The sequence below is a fragment of the Homo sapiens genome, chromosome 12 (genome assembly GCF_000001405.40).
Source record: "Homo sapiens chromosome 12, GRCh38.p14 Primary Assembly".
Taxonomy (NCBI): Eukaryota; Metazoa; Chordata; class Mammalia; order Primates; family Hominidae; genus Homo; species Homo sapiens.
Genome location: NC_000012.12, coordinates 81,284,786 through 81,302,924, shown reverse-complemented (window position 1 = coordinate 81,302,924; position 18,139 = coordinate 81,284,786). Strand labels below are relative to the sequence as shown.

Below are 18,139 nucleotides of genomic sequence, written 5' to 3'. Positions count from 1 at the left end.
CATATCATCATGTATTAAATTCAGTTATTTCCAAGTATTATAGCATTGCCCACATTGCTTTATTTTTCTAGCATTGCTTGTCTCTCAAACCAACATGCCTAGATATATGCCTTTTATAAATTTTGTATGGTGCCGATTATTTTATAATTAAAAATAATAATGCAAGGCAATATTGCTTTGTAAATTTCAATGCTGTTCTTTTTTAAATAATTGTTACTTCTCTCAAAAGGAAAAGCACATCTGGAGTTACCATCATGTAGCACACAGTCCTGGTGTAAAACCTAGCCATCCCTCCCATCTGATCCGTTTTTCCACAGTCTCAAGTATGTCAGCCCTAAGACAGATGCTAGAGATTTTGCCCTAACTGTTGGAAACCAAAGGATTTGAGCTCCCTTATCTCATTTTCTTAGACTGCTATTACTAAAGTCATCCTGTTATTAGAGTTTGTGATTTAAACAAAACAAAAACCAAGAAAATAAAACTTTTTCAGTGGCCAGATTGCTCAATAATTTCCCAAACAATTGTGTTATCAATACTTCTGTTCATAGAACAGAACTATTTGAGCACATTGGGTTGCCTCTTAACCAAATTCTCACCAGGAATCCCAAATAGATCAGACTCTTGGGATCAGCTAGAATCAGTACTATTGTGAGAAAGTGGGAAATAAAAGCTCAAGAGGAGGTAAGATGCAAGAAAAAAATTTGTTCTTTAAAATACAAAATGTTGTACATGGTTATAAGGTAAAATAGAAAAAGCTATTTGGACTACAAAAACAAAACATTATAGGACACAATTTACTGAAACAAGAAGCACCTAAATATAAACACTGATTGGCATTTTGTTTAACATTTACACGTATTTATTTAGCACCTCTTCTGTGCCTGATCTTGTTCTAGACTTCAAATTCATCTCTGAACAGAGCATATGAAAACACAGATCCTCCCTGAGCTTACATTTTATTGGCAGATGACAGAATGAGGAGTAAATAATATACTATGTTAGAAGGGCAATACCTTGGAGAAAAATAAAGCAAACAATGGGGATAAGAAATTCCTTATTGGAGTTTTCAGGGAGTAAGGGAGGAGACATTCAGAGAACAGGTGACATTTGAGTAAAGATTTAAAGTAGCTGAGAGAGTTAGCCATGTAGAGATAGAGGGGAAGAGCATTCCAGGTGAGCTGCCAAGATCCTGAGACAGAAAAGAGGTCTGGGTTGTTTCCAAAGAACAGCAAGGAGGCCAGTGTTGCTGACTGAGATGGGAGTTTAGTCAGAGAGATGGCGCGGGTACGATAGATTGTAGCAGCTGTTTTGGCTTTTATTTCCAGTGAGACAGGAAGTGATTGGAGAGTTATGAACAGAAAAGTTACATGATCAGACTCAAAAGGATCACTCTGGCCTTTCTAGTGGGATTTTTATTAGGGAACTAGTCAGAAGTTTCAAAATGAAAGCGTTCTAATATTTAAAAATAGCTTTTGTACAACTCATAGAATACACTTCTGAAAATGTTACGTGCTCCTTAGGTTATTAGTGCATATTTACTTGCTTTTTTACTATGTGAAGCAAAAACTAATTGTAAATGTAAATTTATTTCTTCCCTTTTAATGTCACAAACCTATGACATAACTAGAAGTGTCGCTTTCCCTATTGGATGTAACATTAAAACTCTTACAACATGCATTAACTCTGTGAAGGCCTACCCTAAATTTTCTTCCACGTATTTCATGTTAAGTTCCATACCTCCCCATTAGTGCTTCTCCTGCTTGGAATGCCATCCCCACCTCTTTCCTACCTGCCCTTCGAAGCCAGCTCCATTGCCACAATGCCTTCACAACACCTTCAATGGCTATTAACCCCTTTTCTAAAATGACATACTTCACAAGGTACATCACCAAGTTTTCACGTTAGCAGCTGTTTGTGTAATGTATTGTATTATATTGTATTGTATTGTATTTTCAGACAGTTTCATGTGTTTGTTTTGTCCATCTAACAGGATATCCTGGGAAATTAGACCCATATCTATTTTCCACACCAAACACAAGTCTCAGTCCACAACAGGTGTTCAATAAGTACCTAATAGGTTATTTGTTTTTGATCCTTCAATCCATTTCTATATATATATATCTGTCACAGTGAGGCTAAGCTATTTGAAACTGGTTTTCACTAAAGGAATGTCACTGGGAGACCTGAGGGAATGGAGGATGATAGAGCAAGCCAGGTGAAGAAGTGCCTCTACTTTTTTAGATTCAGAGCACGAGTATCGCTGTTCCCTTTCCCAGGTGCTGAATAGCTTACATGCAGAACTTAACACTTCTATCCCCTCAAATGAAACAGCAGTTGATTTATGTCTCTTCAGCCACTATAACTTAAATTTGTATTTTGCACCTTTTTTAATGAATTTTTGGTTGCATCTATTACAAACACAGAAAACTCTGTGTTGAAAGGCATTTTATTCATTATATATCTTAATGTATTAATATAGTCTACCACAGTAACTAATTGATTAATAGTAGAAAATAATCAAATTATCCATTTGGGAGTTCATAAATGATTTTCATGAAATATTCCTAAGCATAAAACATACGCATTCAAAATAAAGCAATTATTATACCATGTTTTTATCATCTATGTGTAAGATCAAGGCATACTAAAGTAAAGAGAATGTATTTTCCAATATATTCCTGGCCAAGTATATATCAATTTGAATTTCAGTGAAAGCACATAGCTACTATCTTAACAATGAGTGATCTCAAATTGGCTTTGTAAGTGGATGTCAATTCTAAAAATCAGTAAGAGGGTCAGTGAAATTATAGATGCATTTTTCAGAGTTCTTTTGCATCTTTTGTTATCAAAACAACCATTTGTTGTTATTAAGATATTTTAATTTCATTAAAACAGTAGTGATTATAGATAAAAGCAAGTGTACCATTGAATTTGATACCTTACATTGCTTTCGAGTGTTAGAAATCAATTTACCTTGGAGTTTTCTCCAAGTGAGATGTAGTTTTATAGTCTAGACAAATAACTAACTCCTAAGATAGATCCCTGGACCCACAGGGCATACTAAAATCAACCACATCACTAGAATGTGACTAAAAGGACCAAATTTATCTTCTGCCTCTCTATATAAGCATTTTCTTTGCCATGGAGATAGTAAGGCAAAGAGGGCAGGGCAGATGGTGGAAGCCACATTTAGATCCCATAATGCATACTTGAATATGAACATTTGGGCCATTTTCTCATTAAAGGGATAAGATATTTGCTGGTAATATAATTCCACTTCTAATTCCATTAGCACTTAATGTTCTAATTTTCATGAATAAATGTTGGGGAAAATTACTTTTCTATGTCAATGCTTCATTCGTAATAAAATCAATGGATGATGTGTGTGTGTTACTCAAAGGAATAAGGAATTCTGTTATTCTATATTGTATCATAAAAAATCTTGTAAAGGATGATTGGTTATTTTAAAATATTATCATTAAAAATAATCACAGCCATATTTTTCCATATACCTGCCTAATAATCTTTGCTATATACTTCAGGCATGAACTTCTTGAAGAAGCTCGGAGAAAGGGATTACCTTTTGCCCAGTGGGATGGGCCAACTGTGGTCGCATGGCTAGAGGTAAGAGAATGAAACTAGGAGGCCCTTGAATCAATCACTACTAAGTTGATAATTTTTTTGAGACAGGTAACGGCAAGTTTCTGAAATCACAGCATCCCCTTAGTCTGGAATTGCTCATAAGGGACTATTTGCTTACTAGGGAATAAATTTATGATTTTATGCTGACACTTTTTTGTGATCGTAGTAGAAGAAATCATGCAGTGGGATAAAAGGAAGTGTCTCTAAATCACACCCTTTTCATTTCTAGAGCAAGAGAAGAAACAAAATTTTATTGTTGCAAGAGAACATCCATTCCCATCCATTAGGCCAGGGCCCTTCCTCATTAGCAGGTTACAGAGAAGACCCTCTCCATATTCAACACTTCTGTAATCCAAGGTAGTAAGATCACCTAGATGTACAGAGAGACATTCCTTTGCCTGTAATTTAGTTCCTGAACCTAGTTCTCTAAAGCCTATGGACCAGCTAGGTTTAGACACTTGGGATTAAACAGAAGACTTACACCTTATTCCCTTCTGTGTCCAAACTGAATGCTACAATAAAAGAAGAACTATTTTCAGCATTTCCTGTACAACATAGTGTTCTGGAAAAATAAGGGAATATCTGAACAGTGTAGGAGGCAGCAGAAACTGACCTTGACATTGACGGAACTACATATTTGACTACGAAGGGCTGTTTCATGTCACTTAACAGTACTGTTCACTGCCCCTTCTATTCAGTTCTCTATGTGAGCTGCTAGTAGCTGCTAGGATATGCCTGTGTCAGGGCAAAGAAGAATCCAGGCTTTCCTTGCCTGCCAGAGGTAATTATACATGTTGTTTTAAATGGTCTTGGATTATAAAATTATCCGTCTTCATTTTATTATAGCCAGAGCTAAGTAAATAAATAATAAAGAAACATTAAAGCCCATTTTAGTTTTAAAAATAGACTTAGATAGATCTAGAAACACGCTTTGTATTTTTTCTTGCACTGAATGAAAAATGCCTGTATTTTGCTTTTACTTTATTCTTTCACATCAGACAGGGAAATTTAGCATATTAGCCATCAGATATTAGCGATCAGCTGCTTCTTTCAACCGTGTCTTTAAAATTACTATATTTAAAAAATCAATCACAAGACAAAATGCTTAAGAAATCACACCTCAGAAATGATAGCAGTTCTTTGTTCAGTTTTTGCTCCGATAAAATGAGTTGCAGTTTGACAGAGAGTTCGCTGCTATTTTGGCAAGCGACGAACAAATCCTTCAGATAAAAAGAAAAAAGAAACAGATTTACTGACATTAAGGTGATAGGAGATGACAGACAGTGAAGTTTGTGCTAATTAAACCTATTCTGAGTACACAGAAATTGCCTATGATTCCTAATGCAACTTAAATTATAAAATGGAATAAACAAGATGAATGAGCTGAGTGATCCAATGAATGAAACTTTAACTTCATCTCCTTTCGTTCCTCCTTGAGTGCACAGCCTGTTAAGAATTTTGTGTAGGCGAGAATTCCATGCTTCACATGCCATTTATCCGCATCAAAGACTCTTTAAGGTCTAATTATGGATGACATTGGTAACAATGTATTGGCAGGCATTTGGGTGATGTTAACTAGTGTGGAAATCCAAATATCTTAGAAGACAAAGGTAAAAAAATCATTAGGGTCCAAAGAAGACATATTTAGATGTTTAGTTATTTTGAACAGTTTGAGTTTATAAACTAAATAGTCAAGTACTATCTTCTGTCATATATAATGTACCTGTCAAGGTCAATTATTTGTGCCTAACCTGCTGGAAGAAAGCATAATCTGTACAGTCACACATTGTACTTAGATCTTCCCCTTCTTTTCTCTTATCTCTATCACAACCCAGTCCACACTGACTCAAAGAGTTTCGTTGTTGGCATTTTTTTTTTCAAAAGAGACAAATAGTCTTTTAATATTGTAGAATTTTTCAACTAAAAGGATGTTTATACTGGTTAGCTATTGCTGTTTACAAATTACCCCCAAATTTGGCATTTATGATCTCATGACTTCTATGGGTCAGGAGTCTGGGAATAGCTTTGTGATGGCCTCTGCTCAGAGTCTCTCACAGGGCTGCAATCAAGGTATCAGCCAGGGCAGCAGTCATCTCAAGGCTAGACTTGGGGAGAATCCACTTCCATGCTCATTCATATGGTCAGGGTCATGATTCAGTTTCCTGCTGGCTGTTGGCCAGAAACATTAGTTCCTTGTCATATGGGACTCTCCACAGGGCTCCTGAGATCTGACTTACTCCAGAGTGAGAGCTCAGAGGGAAAGAGACAGCGGGAGGGGACTAGCAGGAATGAAACCACAGTCATTTTATTGCCTAAACTGGAAAGTGACATCCCATCACTTTTATCATCAGCTATTTATTAGAAATAAATCACTGGGCCAATCCTACCCCCAAAAGAAGGAGATTATAGAAGGGAACGGATATCAGGAGGTAGAGAGAAATAATCAAGCTTGATTCCTTCATTTTACAAATGAGGAAAATATGGCTGAGGTTTAGATGGGTTACATGACTCACCAATGACTGGAAAGGAATTAGGGCTCAGGTCTTCTGATTTGTGGTCCAGAGCTCTTGGCACTGTATTTTGCTGATTTATAGTTTTTCTTCTTTGTCTCACTTTTTCTCACTCTCACAATTCTCTCCTTTGTTCAATCTGTTTATTTCAACAAATAGAAAAAAAAATCAGTCAATCTTTTGGACATTCAAAAACAAATATGTAAGCTGCTAATTTTTTGTTGTGTTTTCTACTTCTTACTCATAACTAATGATGGAGGGAAAATGGGAGAATATTCCTGTTTTAAGTGATGTTATTCAGGTGCTGAAATATAATGCCCGTGATTGGCATTCACCCAGTGCTTGAGATGTGCACGAGACCTGTGCTGTGTAAATAGCACTGCTGGTTTAATTGTCTTTCAAGAGTCTCACAGCAAAGTTGAAAAATCAAAATATCTAATTTCTTTTCTTTTTTGAGACAGAGTTTCACTTTGTTGCCTAGGCTGGATTGCAGTGGCACAGTCTCAGCTCACTGCAACCTCTGCCTCCCGGGTTTAAGCAATTCTCGTGCCTCAGCCTCCCCCGTAGCTGGAATTACAGGCATCTGCCACCACGCCTGGCTGATTTTTTTGTTTGTTTGTTTTAGTTTTAGTAGAGACAGAGTTTCACCATGTTGCCCAGGCTGGTCTTGAACTCCTAAGCTCAGGCAATCCAGTCATCTCAGCCTCCCAAAGTGCTAGGATTACAGGCGTGAGCCACCGCGCCTGGCCTCATTTTTTGTTGTTGTTTTCTTTTGTTTCGTTTTGAGGCAGAGTCTCATTCTGTCCCCAGCCTGGAGTCTAAAGGCCTGATCTCAGCTCACTGCAACCTCTGCTGCTCAGTTTCAAGTGATTCTCCTGCCTCAGCCTCCCGAGTAGCTGGAGTTATAGGCACTCGCCATCATGCTCAGCTAATTTTTGTATTTTTAGTATTATGATGTTTCACCAAGTTGGCCAGGCTGGTCTCGAACTCCTGACCTCATGTGATCCTTCCACCTCGGCCTCCCAAAGTGCTGAGATTACAGGCATGAGCCACTGTGCCCAGTCTTAAAATCTCTAATTTCTGATGCATTATTAATTTTGTTGCTTTCTTTAGTTTTTCAATGATTTGAGTTTTAACTTCTTTCTTAGCACATCATTTCACTCTCTAAAAGGCATTTTCATATATAGCATCTAATTAAGTTCACACATCTTTCACATGGTGTAGGAAGGTAGGTGGAAATGTGGCTTAGCTACACTGCATGCTTTGATCGAAATCACATGGCTGGATGTGGCACAGCTGTCTCGTTCTGTGACAGAATTTCTCTTCACTCAGAATTCCAAAGAAGCATTATAAATTGAAGCCACTCATTAAGCAAACATTAATTGAGTCCCTTATCAAATGTGGCTTGTAGCCGTTCTGGTCCCTACATACAAAGGGGAACTTGGTGCCATGCAGCCATTACTTTTACCACTAGTAATATGAATTAGTTAAAATAGAGTCTCTGGAGCTAGCATGTCTCAATTTCAAATCTTGTTTCTATCCCTGCCTCCCTGGTGTTTTTAAATACATCATTTAATTTCTTTGTGCATCTATGTCCTCTAGGGAAAATAATGATAACATTTTATCTCGTGGGGTGAGGTCATGTATGTAAGATACATAAAATAATTCCTAGCATATGAGACACTAAAATGATAACTATTATTATAATTTGTTAGTGTATTTTTTCCTATCTAACAGCTTTGGTTGGGAATGCCTGCGTGGTACGTGGCAGCCTGCCGAGCCAACGTGAAGAGTGGTGCCATCATGTCTGCTTTATCTGACACTGAGATCCAGAGAGAAATTGGAATCAGCAATCCACTGCATCGCTTAAAACTTCGATTAGCAATCCAGGAGATGGTTTCCCTAACAAGTCCTTCAGCTCCTCCAACATCTCGAACTGTGAGTCAGTTTCTGCTCCTCCCCTTCCTCAGTGCTAGGCAAATAGCCGTGTGTCTAAGTCTACAGAGCAAAATTGTGACAGCACACATTTCAATGTCAGCTTGAATTATTCTCAAGAGATTAAGCTTGCTCTTTATTAACCTTGCTGCTACTTTTAATAGGTTTTCAAATGAGGAACTATGATTCATATCAGACGTGAAAGCTAGCATAGCAGACTTTTGAGCTAGCATCTGAAGTTTAGATTTTTCTCCCAAGCGACAAGACCCTGAGCTTACTCTTTTTTCAATTCCTTCCTTCCTTCGTTCCTTTGTTCCTCCCTCCCTTCCTCCCTCCCTTCCTTCCTTCTTTCCTTCCTTCCTTCCTTCCTTCCTTCCTTCCTTCCTTCCTTCCTTCCTACCTACCTTCCTTCCTTCCTTCCCTTCTTCCTTCCTTCCTTTCTCTTTCCCTCAGGTAATTTCTCAGAAGATAAGATATAAGCATTAGTGATTACTAAAGATGCAAGGCTTAAGTGACTACATTTTTTAGTTTTAATATTTTTTATTTTTATAGATTCAGGGGGTACATGTGAAAGTTCGTTACATGGGTATATTATGTAATGGAGATTTTGGGGCTTCCAGTGTGCCCATCACCCAAATAGTGAACGTTGTACCCAATGGGTAATTTTTCAAACCTCATCCCTACCAACCTCTTCCCTTTTGGAGTCTCCAATGTCTGTTATTTCCTTCTACCTGTCCACATGTACCCATTGTTTAGCTCTCACTTACAAGTGAGGACATGTTGTATTTGATTTTTTTTTGTTTCCAAGTTATTTCACTTGGGATAATGGTCTCCAGTTCCATTTATGTTGCTACAAAAGACATTAGTTTATTCTTTTTTATGACTGCATAGTATTCCATGGTGTGTATATACATTTTATTTATCCAATCATCCACTGATGGACACTTAGATTCATTCCATGATTTTGCTATTATGATTAATGTTGTGATAAAGACATGAGTGCAGGAATTATTTTGATATAACAATTGCTTTTCCTTTGGGTAGGTACTAAGTAGCGAGATTACTTAGTTGAATGCTCATTCTATTTTTAGTTCTTTGAGAAATCTCCATACTGTCTTCCATAGAGGTTGTATTAATTTACATTCCCACCAACAGTGTATAAGTGTTCCCTTTTCTCTGTGCCCTTGCCGACATCTTTTTTTTTTCTTAACTTTTTAGTAATAGCCATTCTGACTGAGGTGGGATGGTATCTCACTTGGTTTTAATTGCATATATCTGATGATTAGTGATATTGAGCTTTTTTATATGTTTGTTGGACACTTGTATGTGTTCTTTTGTAACTCACTATTTCTTAAGAAGTTTCTGTAATTATGAAATTATGTGAGTTTGACGTTTTACAGATACCAAATGGAATATCTGGAATATCTTTTTCTTTCAAAGTCTGTTTGTTTTTCAGTTATAAATTCCTAGTCATCTCATAATTTTTTACCTATCCTAATCCTAGAAAAGAACAAAATGTGACAAAAAAGGCATGCATGACGACAAATTCCCAAAAACTCCCAAATAGTATTTAATTATTTGTTTATTCCATTCCTAAATTATATATTTTGTTTATAAAGTATATTATTTCTGATAATTACTAGATTTCCCAAATCTCATATCTTATATAGCATAATAAAATATGGGAGAATGAGATAAATTTTAGCAATAGGTAAAATATTAAAAAGTCTTATTACTTTATTGCAGTTTTCAGGCAGAAAAGTAACAAGTATAACTTTTTTATACATGATCTTAAACAGTTGTGAATAGTTTGTTTCATTTCTATTTACACATTTTCCTTCCCAGTATACTAGATTCTAATGCCAGAAATAAAAGGTCAAATTTAAAAGGCTTATATAATTCTTACATAACTCCATTTTAAGTTCTTCCTAAATGACATGTAGGAAAAATATATAATTTTTAAAATTCTTACCTATATTATTTTTAAATAGACACAAATGTTTTTCACTATACCTGGATTATGACTCAAGCTAAAAGACAATTTAGAATACAATAGCCCCTTGAATAAGATAGGAGTTAAGGGTGCTGACCCCCCACACACAGTCAAAAAATCAGCTAGAATTTTTGGCTCTCCCAAGACTTAACTACTAAGAGCCTACTGTTGACTGGAAGCCTTACTGATAACACAAATAGTTGATAAGCATGTATTATGTGTTTTATATGTACACATATATGCTCCATTCGTACAATAAAGTAAGCTAGAGAAAAGAAAATATTATTAAGAAAATCATAGGGAAGAGAAATTATATTTACTATTCATTATGTGGAAGTAGTTCATCATAAATGCCTTTATCCTCGTCGTCTTTATGTTGAAAGTACGCTGAGGAGGAGGAAGGGGAGAGATTGGTCATGTTGTCTCAGGAGTGGCAGTGGCAGAAGAAAGTCTGTGTATAAGTGGAATGATGCAGTTCAAACCTGTGTTGTTCAAGAGCCACCTGTATATTTAAAATAAGAAACTGAGAAGACCATTAAAATAGTTATTGTAAATTTAATTTAAGTCTGATGAAGAGTTTGCTGAGTAATTTCCAGCTGAGAGAGAAGCATCATAAATAGTTTATATCCACATTTTCCTCCCAAGAGCAAATGCAAACAAAATTATTAAACATTATGAATCTTGCAAAAATAAATTTGAAGTCCCAACTTCCAGATGAAAAATATGATACATTTTATTATTTTTATTTACCAGTGTAATTCATTTCTTAATGAACAATAGGGAATTTTAAAACCATTTTTCTAAAACTATTTAACCAACCTGAAGGAATTTAAATTATACCATATTAATTAACATTCAATTGTTTAAAGAATGGGGAGAAGTAAAGAAAGCTTTATGATCTAGCCTCAGTTCACCTCGAAGGCTTTATTTCCCAGGTCAGGAACTACTTTCAGTTTTTCAAACATCTTTCCTTTTGGTCAGTTATGAGCTTTTGTAGTTGGTCTTCCCTTTGCCCAAAACTTTCATCCTACTTCAAAGTCATCATATTTTCTCCAATTCATTATTCATTTATCGATTCCTTTACATATTTCCTCTGAAAAGCTTTTGCTGAGCCCCCAAAGCCTGGGTTTGGTTTCCTTCCTGAGTTACCACTCCATGTACTTATAAACAACATTTTACAGTTCTTCTTTTCTTCATTTATCTCACACTAGACGAAATAAAGATAGCATCAGGTTTCCATCAACCCCAAGCCTTAGCAATAGTGCCTGGCAAATTTTAGATATTATGTAAATATTCACCTTAAAATAATCATTGTATAGATCACTCTACCCACATATTTCATATACTCTGCTGAAGTATAAGAAACGTGTGGCCTTGAGATCAGAAAGGGAAACTCTACTAAGGAAAATAAGCATGTTGACTGGTAGATTTAGTACAGGATTATATAGATTAACTCCAAAATGTGCAATAGAAGTGAAGTGTGATGGAGCTTCAAGAAAGGAGAAATCACTACAAGCTGGATAAGGCTTCAGACAAAAATGAACATTTGAAACATAAAAAATATATTGTTTATAGCATTTAAGTTTTATATGTTTATTGAACTAATACATGATCCTGTATAACATTTGTAAAATACAGAAAAATACAAAGATGACAACAAAATAATTTAAAAACATTAAAAAATACTGATTTTAGAGATAATCAATGTTAATTTTTTCACTATTGAAAACATTTGATGAAGATCTTGTCATTCTTTTTTCATTATCTTTTTATATAAATGGATTATTTCACATAATATATTAATTTGTACTTTTTTGTAAATTTAGTAATGTAGTGTAAGCATTTTCTTCATTTTATTAAATATGCAACTGCAACATCACTTTTAGTTATTGAATATGTCCTTTGTAGAAATGTGATAAGTTATTTAATCAAATTCCTAGTATTGGACATTTTCTTTGTTTTGTGTAACACAATTTGTTGTTGTGTGTAAAATATGTGCTTGTAATTATGTTGTTGCATAAACTGTGGTTATTTCCATTGCTATATTTGTGTATACGGAATGCATATTCTTAATACTTTTAAACTTTAATTGTTAAATTGTGTTGTGTTGCTATTTTTTCTCCCTTTGTCAACATTGGTTATCTCCTTGCTTAATTTACATTTTAAAAATCACTACTAAATGTGCAAATTTTTATATTCTTATTAATCTGGTATTTATATTAATTTTCTATTCATAACCTTCCCAACTTATCTTTATTATTATAGGAATATATATCTTTTTACTAATGTGTAATAGCTCTGTATTCACGGAATATATGTACCTCTTGCCAGATACTGATGCAAATTCTATGAGACAAGTTAAGTTGTGTCTCTAGGCTTTAAAAGTATCTACTAAATGTTTCCTCTTCCTTCTACTCACTCTACATGGTAGCATTTACTCATTTCTAATATATTTCCAATACAATTTGCATTGCAAATGAAAATTCCACATAAATCACTATTAATGAATCCACTACATAAAGTCATAACCTAACATTATGTATTAGAATTCACACTTACAAAACACAAAGGCAGATTTTTTTTTTTTAACAAAGTTATTCTATCATGTCTTCAAGAACACTACAGTTTGTTTAGATTATACAAGTTATTTTGCACACTGAGGTTTGGGCTTGGGTTCCTCAGCCAGGTATTTCGTGTTTATTAACTGAAGTTCTGAGGAGAAAAAGACAAGGTACTTGGGCTTCGGGGCTTTTTTATTTTTAACTTTTATTTATTTATTTATTCTACTACTTTATTTGATTCAGCCTCCTTTCCTGCCTAGATATAATGGGCTGGACCATCAAAAAGGAAAATTTAAATGTCACATATATGATTACCTTGAGCCAGCCCTAAATTTCCAGCTTTCTGTTTCTTTTCTCCAAGCTACTATTACTACAGAAAGTCTCTTACCTAGTAGGATAGAGATGGAGATACCAGTTAATTGAAATTTGGTTGAAGAAGGATGTAACAAAAATAAGTGCATTCTTTGAATACTTTATCTCAGGTAAAAATTACAGAAATGTTAAAGAATTGCAAATTTAGATGGAGCACCTAAAACTATTTTTGTGTATGTTTCCAATGTCTGGAGTTCCACATTATCCTTTTAGATAATCTTATCTGGAAACATGTTTAATTTCTCTAGTTGGTGTTTCTTTTTAAAGTGACGACTTCAAGATAACTCAAAAAGCCATTTGAATGAGGAATCCTTCTGGACATTTACAATGCCTTCCCCAGACTTTGACAAAATTGTATTTTATTGATAGTGTGTTTCATTCAAGATTTGCCTATCTCTGGTTTTTCCAACTAATTCAACTTAGTGTTTATATAGGAGCCAAATTTGTTTTATATTTTGCTTTATGTAACATTTATTTAAGTTGATGAATTAAACATTTTAAAAGCAAGTGCAGTGGAAATAAATAAGTTTTAAACAAAGTGATTTTTGATAACCATATAATTCAACAAGATTAAACATAAATGTAAGGTGTAAGATAGGCATTAGTCAGCTCAGTGTAATACAGAGACCTACAGAGTATTTCTTGAATTAAAGATTTGCTTGAATGGAGACTACCTAACAGAATATCTAATATAATTACAGTAGTAGCCAACATCAGCAGAATGCTCACTGTCAGGGACTGTTCTAAGCGCTTTACATGTAATAGCCCATTTGACTCTCACAACTACAGCTATGAGAAAGGTACTTTTATTATAGCTGTTTCACAAATGGGCAAAACTAATGTAAAGAAGTAAACTGACTCACCTAAGGTCATACTCCTATGTGGGTTTTCTCCTAACAAGCACATTCTCCTGCTTCTGCTTCCTGCACTCTATCAGTTTTCCTTCTTTTTATAGCATTCTTTTAGTCTGTTTGATTCCTCTTTTCATTATTACTTACCTCATAAGCCCCAACCTTTATTGAAAAGAGGGTGTGGTATAATTGCCTTTATAAACCTTAACCTTTATTGAAAAGAGAGTGAGGTGTAAATATCATTCTTATTATAATGAGAAGGATTTATCTTATAATGAGAGACAAAAATTCAGATAAGGGAGAAATGTGGATCCAGGCCATTTGAATGTGAAAAGTAATTTCAAGTTACTACTTTGTAATTCCATTACAAAGTAAAAAACACTTTAAATGACCTAGGTAGTAACAAAAGTTACTTTAACTAGGTAAGATTTAGGATTATTCTGAGGTCTGGCTGCTTTACTTATACTGTATCTCTGACAGCAAGACTACTCATTATTTTCACCTGATTAATTTTCACAAGTTATTTCTTAAGTTCATTGTAATATTTATTTTTCTGTCTTAACTCTTTCCAGAATGATTTCATTAGGTAAGTTCTTTAATTCTGATCATTTTTTAGAAATTTCCTTCTCCTTCTCCCTTGATACTTTCTCAAAGTTCTATTCCATGGGTACTAAGGGGAGACAAGCAAGATAATCTCAAGCATAAAATTTAAAGAGGCTCTCATTGTCAGATATCAACCCTGAAAGTGAATGTTTCCTTAAATTATAGCCTCCCAGGACCTCATGTGCCTCATCCTAGTCCCAGCCCTGTATAAGAACATGTTGTATCATAATGTAAACTTTTTAGTGTTTCTTTCTATTCTGGAGCATGCACTTTTAGTCCCACTTAAGAAGTGCAGAACCTGAAATTTAGACAGGCTTAGGAAATGTCCTAGAGTAGTCATTAGTAAGTGCTACTGTATAACTCAAGCCCCTTGATTCTAATTTGATAATATAATTGAAATTTTATAAATTTCATGTTAGACTCAGATGATATTAGCCACAAAAAAATGACTATTGGTTTGCATTTTCTAGCTCGCACATTTTTGGGGGAGATTGCAGCACAGACTACCAAGGGCAGTGAGTAGATAATTTTAAGGGGATCTCAGAGAACCACAACCAAGTTATACAATATTTGTTTCTTATGCTTTTCCAACCTACTTTTTGTACTGTATCCTCAATCCCAAGGTACTCATATCTTTATGCCCTTTGATTGCTCAGTTTCCCAATCTAGCTATCTTGTAGGGATGCTTTGCTCTGAAACTCTCATGCTGTAAATTACTCCGTCACAATGTACTTAGATGCAAGTTCCATCCCCTAAAGTGGTGGTGGAGAGAGAGCAATCTGATTGAATAATTGACTTACTACATATGAGCTTGCCTATAAAATAAACTTGTTAAAACTTCAGTTAATGTCTACTTGACTAGGTTGTGTAGAAACTATTTCTGTCGGCTTTTTACAAGACTATAGGGCTGGCAGTGGTCTTCACAAGTAAAACTGCATATCAAACAGAAACAACTAACATACAACTTCTGAAAGTTTGCCAGTCATACTTCAGAAAATTGTCCTGGGTATATGCTTATTTTGTGAGGAATGAAACAGATAAAACCATAGCTTCCAGCATGTTCCACATCCCAGAATATGGTGACAGACTGGCAGACACAGACTTAAAGATAATCTGTGAAAGATACTATGCATGTATCTATTCTAGTATGAGATAATTAATACAGGTAGTTTCTTAAAGAAGTAATGAGATCTTCATTATTTGGATTACGATTCAAAGCAGAAGCTACACAAATCAGTGTAAAATTGATTTTACACTGTTCTGCAAGCTTAAGCCATTTAAGATTGGCTTAAATGAATTTCTTCTCAGGTAATCATTGCTGAAACTCACTTTGAACCAACAGTATACCCACTCAAGAAAGCACCACGATAACTCAGTGTAAAGGGAATGTGACAGATGCATGTAAAGTACTTTTCAGCACAGCACTCTCCTCCTAAAGTCAATAAAAACAATTTATTCCAAGTAATGTAATGATTTATATACTCATATGCAACTTTCTGTTTATAATGAGCATCATTGTTAGAAGCAGGGAATACAAGGAAGGGACTTTTAAGGACATAAATGACTTTTATATTCTAAATTTATTTAATAGGTGTACACAGATTTATCTTATAGAAAAAACATCATCTGTACTCTAAATTCCAAAACAGTAGAAGAAAATAAATTCTATACATATATTTGATGTCTAGCCTGTGGAATTTTTATGTGCCTCGAATTTGCTTATAATTATGAATCTTTACCACCCATTTCCATTTGTTACTTAAGTATATATACAATCAAATATCACTTAATGCAGATATATGTTCTGAGAAATGAGTCATGAAACAATTTCTTCGTTTTGAGAGTACCATAGAGCATACTTACATAAACCTAAATGGTATAGACTACTGCACACCTAGGCTATGTGGTATAACTTATTGCTCCAGGGTACAAACCTGCACAGCATGATACTAAGCTGAATACTGTAGGCAAATGTAACACTGTGGTAAGTATTTGTGTATCCAAATATGTCTAAACATAGAAAAGGTACAGTAAAAATATAGTATAAAAGATAAAAAATGGTACACGTGAATAGGGCACTTAGTGAATACGAAGGCCTAGGACATTACTATATACTACTGTAGACTTTATAAACACTATACTTTATACTACACACAATTCATAAAAAAACCTTTTTATTTCCTCAGTAATAAATTAGCCTTAGCTTATGGTAACATTTGTAATTTATAAATCTTTTTTTTTGTTAACTTTTGACTCTTTTTAAAATAATACTTAGCTTAAAACACAAATACATTGTACAGCTGAACAAAATTAATATCTTTCTTTATATCCTTGTCCTATAAGCTTTCTGCTATTTCATTATTTTTTCCCCTCTTTAAGCTTTTTCGTTACAAACTAAGACACAAACACAAAAATCACTATAGGCCTACACAGGATCGGGACCATCAGTATCACTGTCTTTCATCTCCATATTCTGTTCCACTGAAAAGTCATTGGGGCAGTAACACACATGGAGCTGTCATCTCCTAGGATATCAATGCCTTCTTTTGAGATGCCTCCCAAGGAACCTACTTGGGGCTATTTTACAGTTAACTCTTTAAAAAACAAAAGTAGAGGGAGTACACTGTAAAATAATGATTTAAAAATCATGGTGTGGTAAATACATAAACCAATAACCCAGTCATTAATGATGATTATCAAGGGTTATGGGCTGCACATAGTTGCACGTGCTATACTTTTAGACGACTGGCAGTGCAATAGGTTTGTTTACACTAGCATTACCACAAACATGTGAATAATGCATTGCACTACGATGGTATAATGGCTCTGATATCACTAGGTGACAGGAACTTTTCAGCTCCATTATAATCATATGAGACCATTTGTTGTGCATGCACCCCATTCTTGACTACAATGTCGGTATGTAGTGCATGACTGTATATATGTATGTATATACATATATAAGATTTCACTTACATCAAATTATACTCATCAATTTATATGTAGTTACATTTGTTTTTAATACAGGAAAAGTTATGGTACTAGGTGAATGGCAGAAAAACCCAAAGTGAATTATGGTGATGACTTGTAATGTTTGGGTAACAACTTTGCTACACCAATTCTTTAAAGATTGGACCCTCCCCAAAACAAGTAGCAGATAATATATAGGATGTAAATTTCATTGATGTGCTTGGAAAACCTTGCAATGTTCATAAAGAAATGATGGAATTTGATGGCAAGTGGTTTCCAGGGGCCAATACCTTCAATGATATGCCTGATCTGTATGTTACTAAGTGGACTTTGGTTTCGAAACTGTACGTTATTAAGTGTATAGAACTAATACCAAGGGGTGTTTTATTTAGAAAGCAAATGGGACTTTATAATAGAATATTGCCTGCTAGAGAAAAAAAATTATTTTACACTATGTTCTTCTCTATAATGGTATCAGATACTGGTGGAGAATTAGGAAATATATGGATTTTATAATTTGACAGTTATTAGTGTGGCTAAAAAATACATTTTATTAAATTAAAAATAGCATTTCACTTCTTTCTCAGCTGCAAGAATTCAGGGACACTTACTATTTACTGAATCACACACAGTAAAAGGAATCTTTTGGGAAAAGCTGATGCTGGTTTCCAGATAAGTTACGATAATGCTTCCCGCTTTATA

The 18,139-nt window shown here is 34.6% G+C and overlaps 1 protein-coding gene and 1 long non-coding RNA gene across 51 annotated transcripts in view; one reads left to right on the top strand and one right to left on the bottom strand.

Moving 5' to 3' along the window:
- Positions 1-18,139, top strand: part of PPFIA2 (PPFI scaffold protein A2) — a 501,376-nt gene that overhangs the window by 456,426 nt on the left and 26,811 nt on the right. For all 50 annotated transcript variants that reach the window (XM_024449242.2, XM_017020107.3, XM_024449240.2 and 47 more), the window contains 2 exons: positions 3,543-3,624; positions 7,890-8,090. In XM_024449242.2, coding sequence (XP_024305010.1) covers positions 3,543-3,624; positions 7,890-8,090 — 283 coding nt within the window. The remainder of the gene's footprint in view (positions 1-3,542; positions 3,625-7,889; positions 8,091-18,139) is intronic.
- PPFIA2-AS1 (PPFIA2 antisense RNA 1) overlaps positions 1-18,139 on the bottom strand; it is a 33,234-nt gene that overhangs the window by 9,498 nt on the left and 5,597 nt on the right. Inside the window, exons 3-5 of the long non-coding RNA NR_120491.1 lie at positions 10,401-10,531; positions 6,156-6,291; positions 4,762-4,862 (exon numbers count right to left, since the gene is read on the bottom strand). This is a non-coding gene — a long non-coding RNA (PPFIA2 antisense RNA 1). The remainder of the gene's footprint in view (positions 1-4,761; positions 4,863-6,155; positions 6,292-10,400; positions 10,532-18,139) is intronic.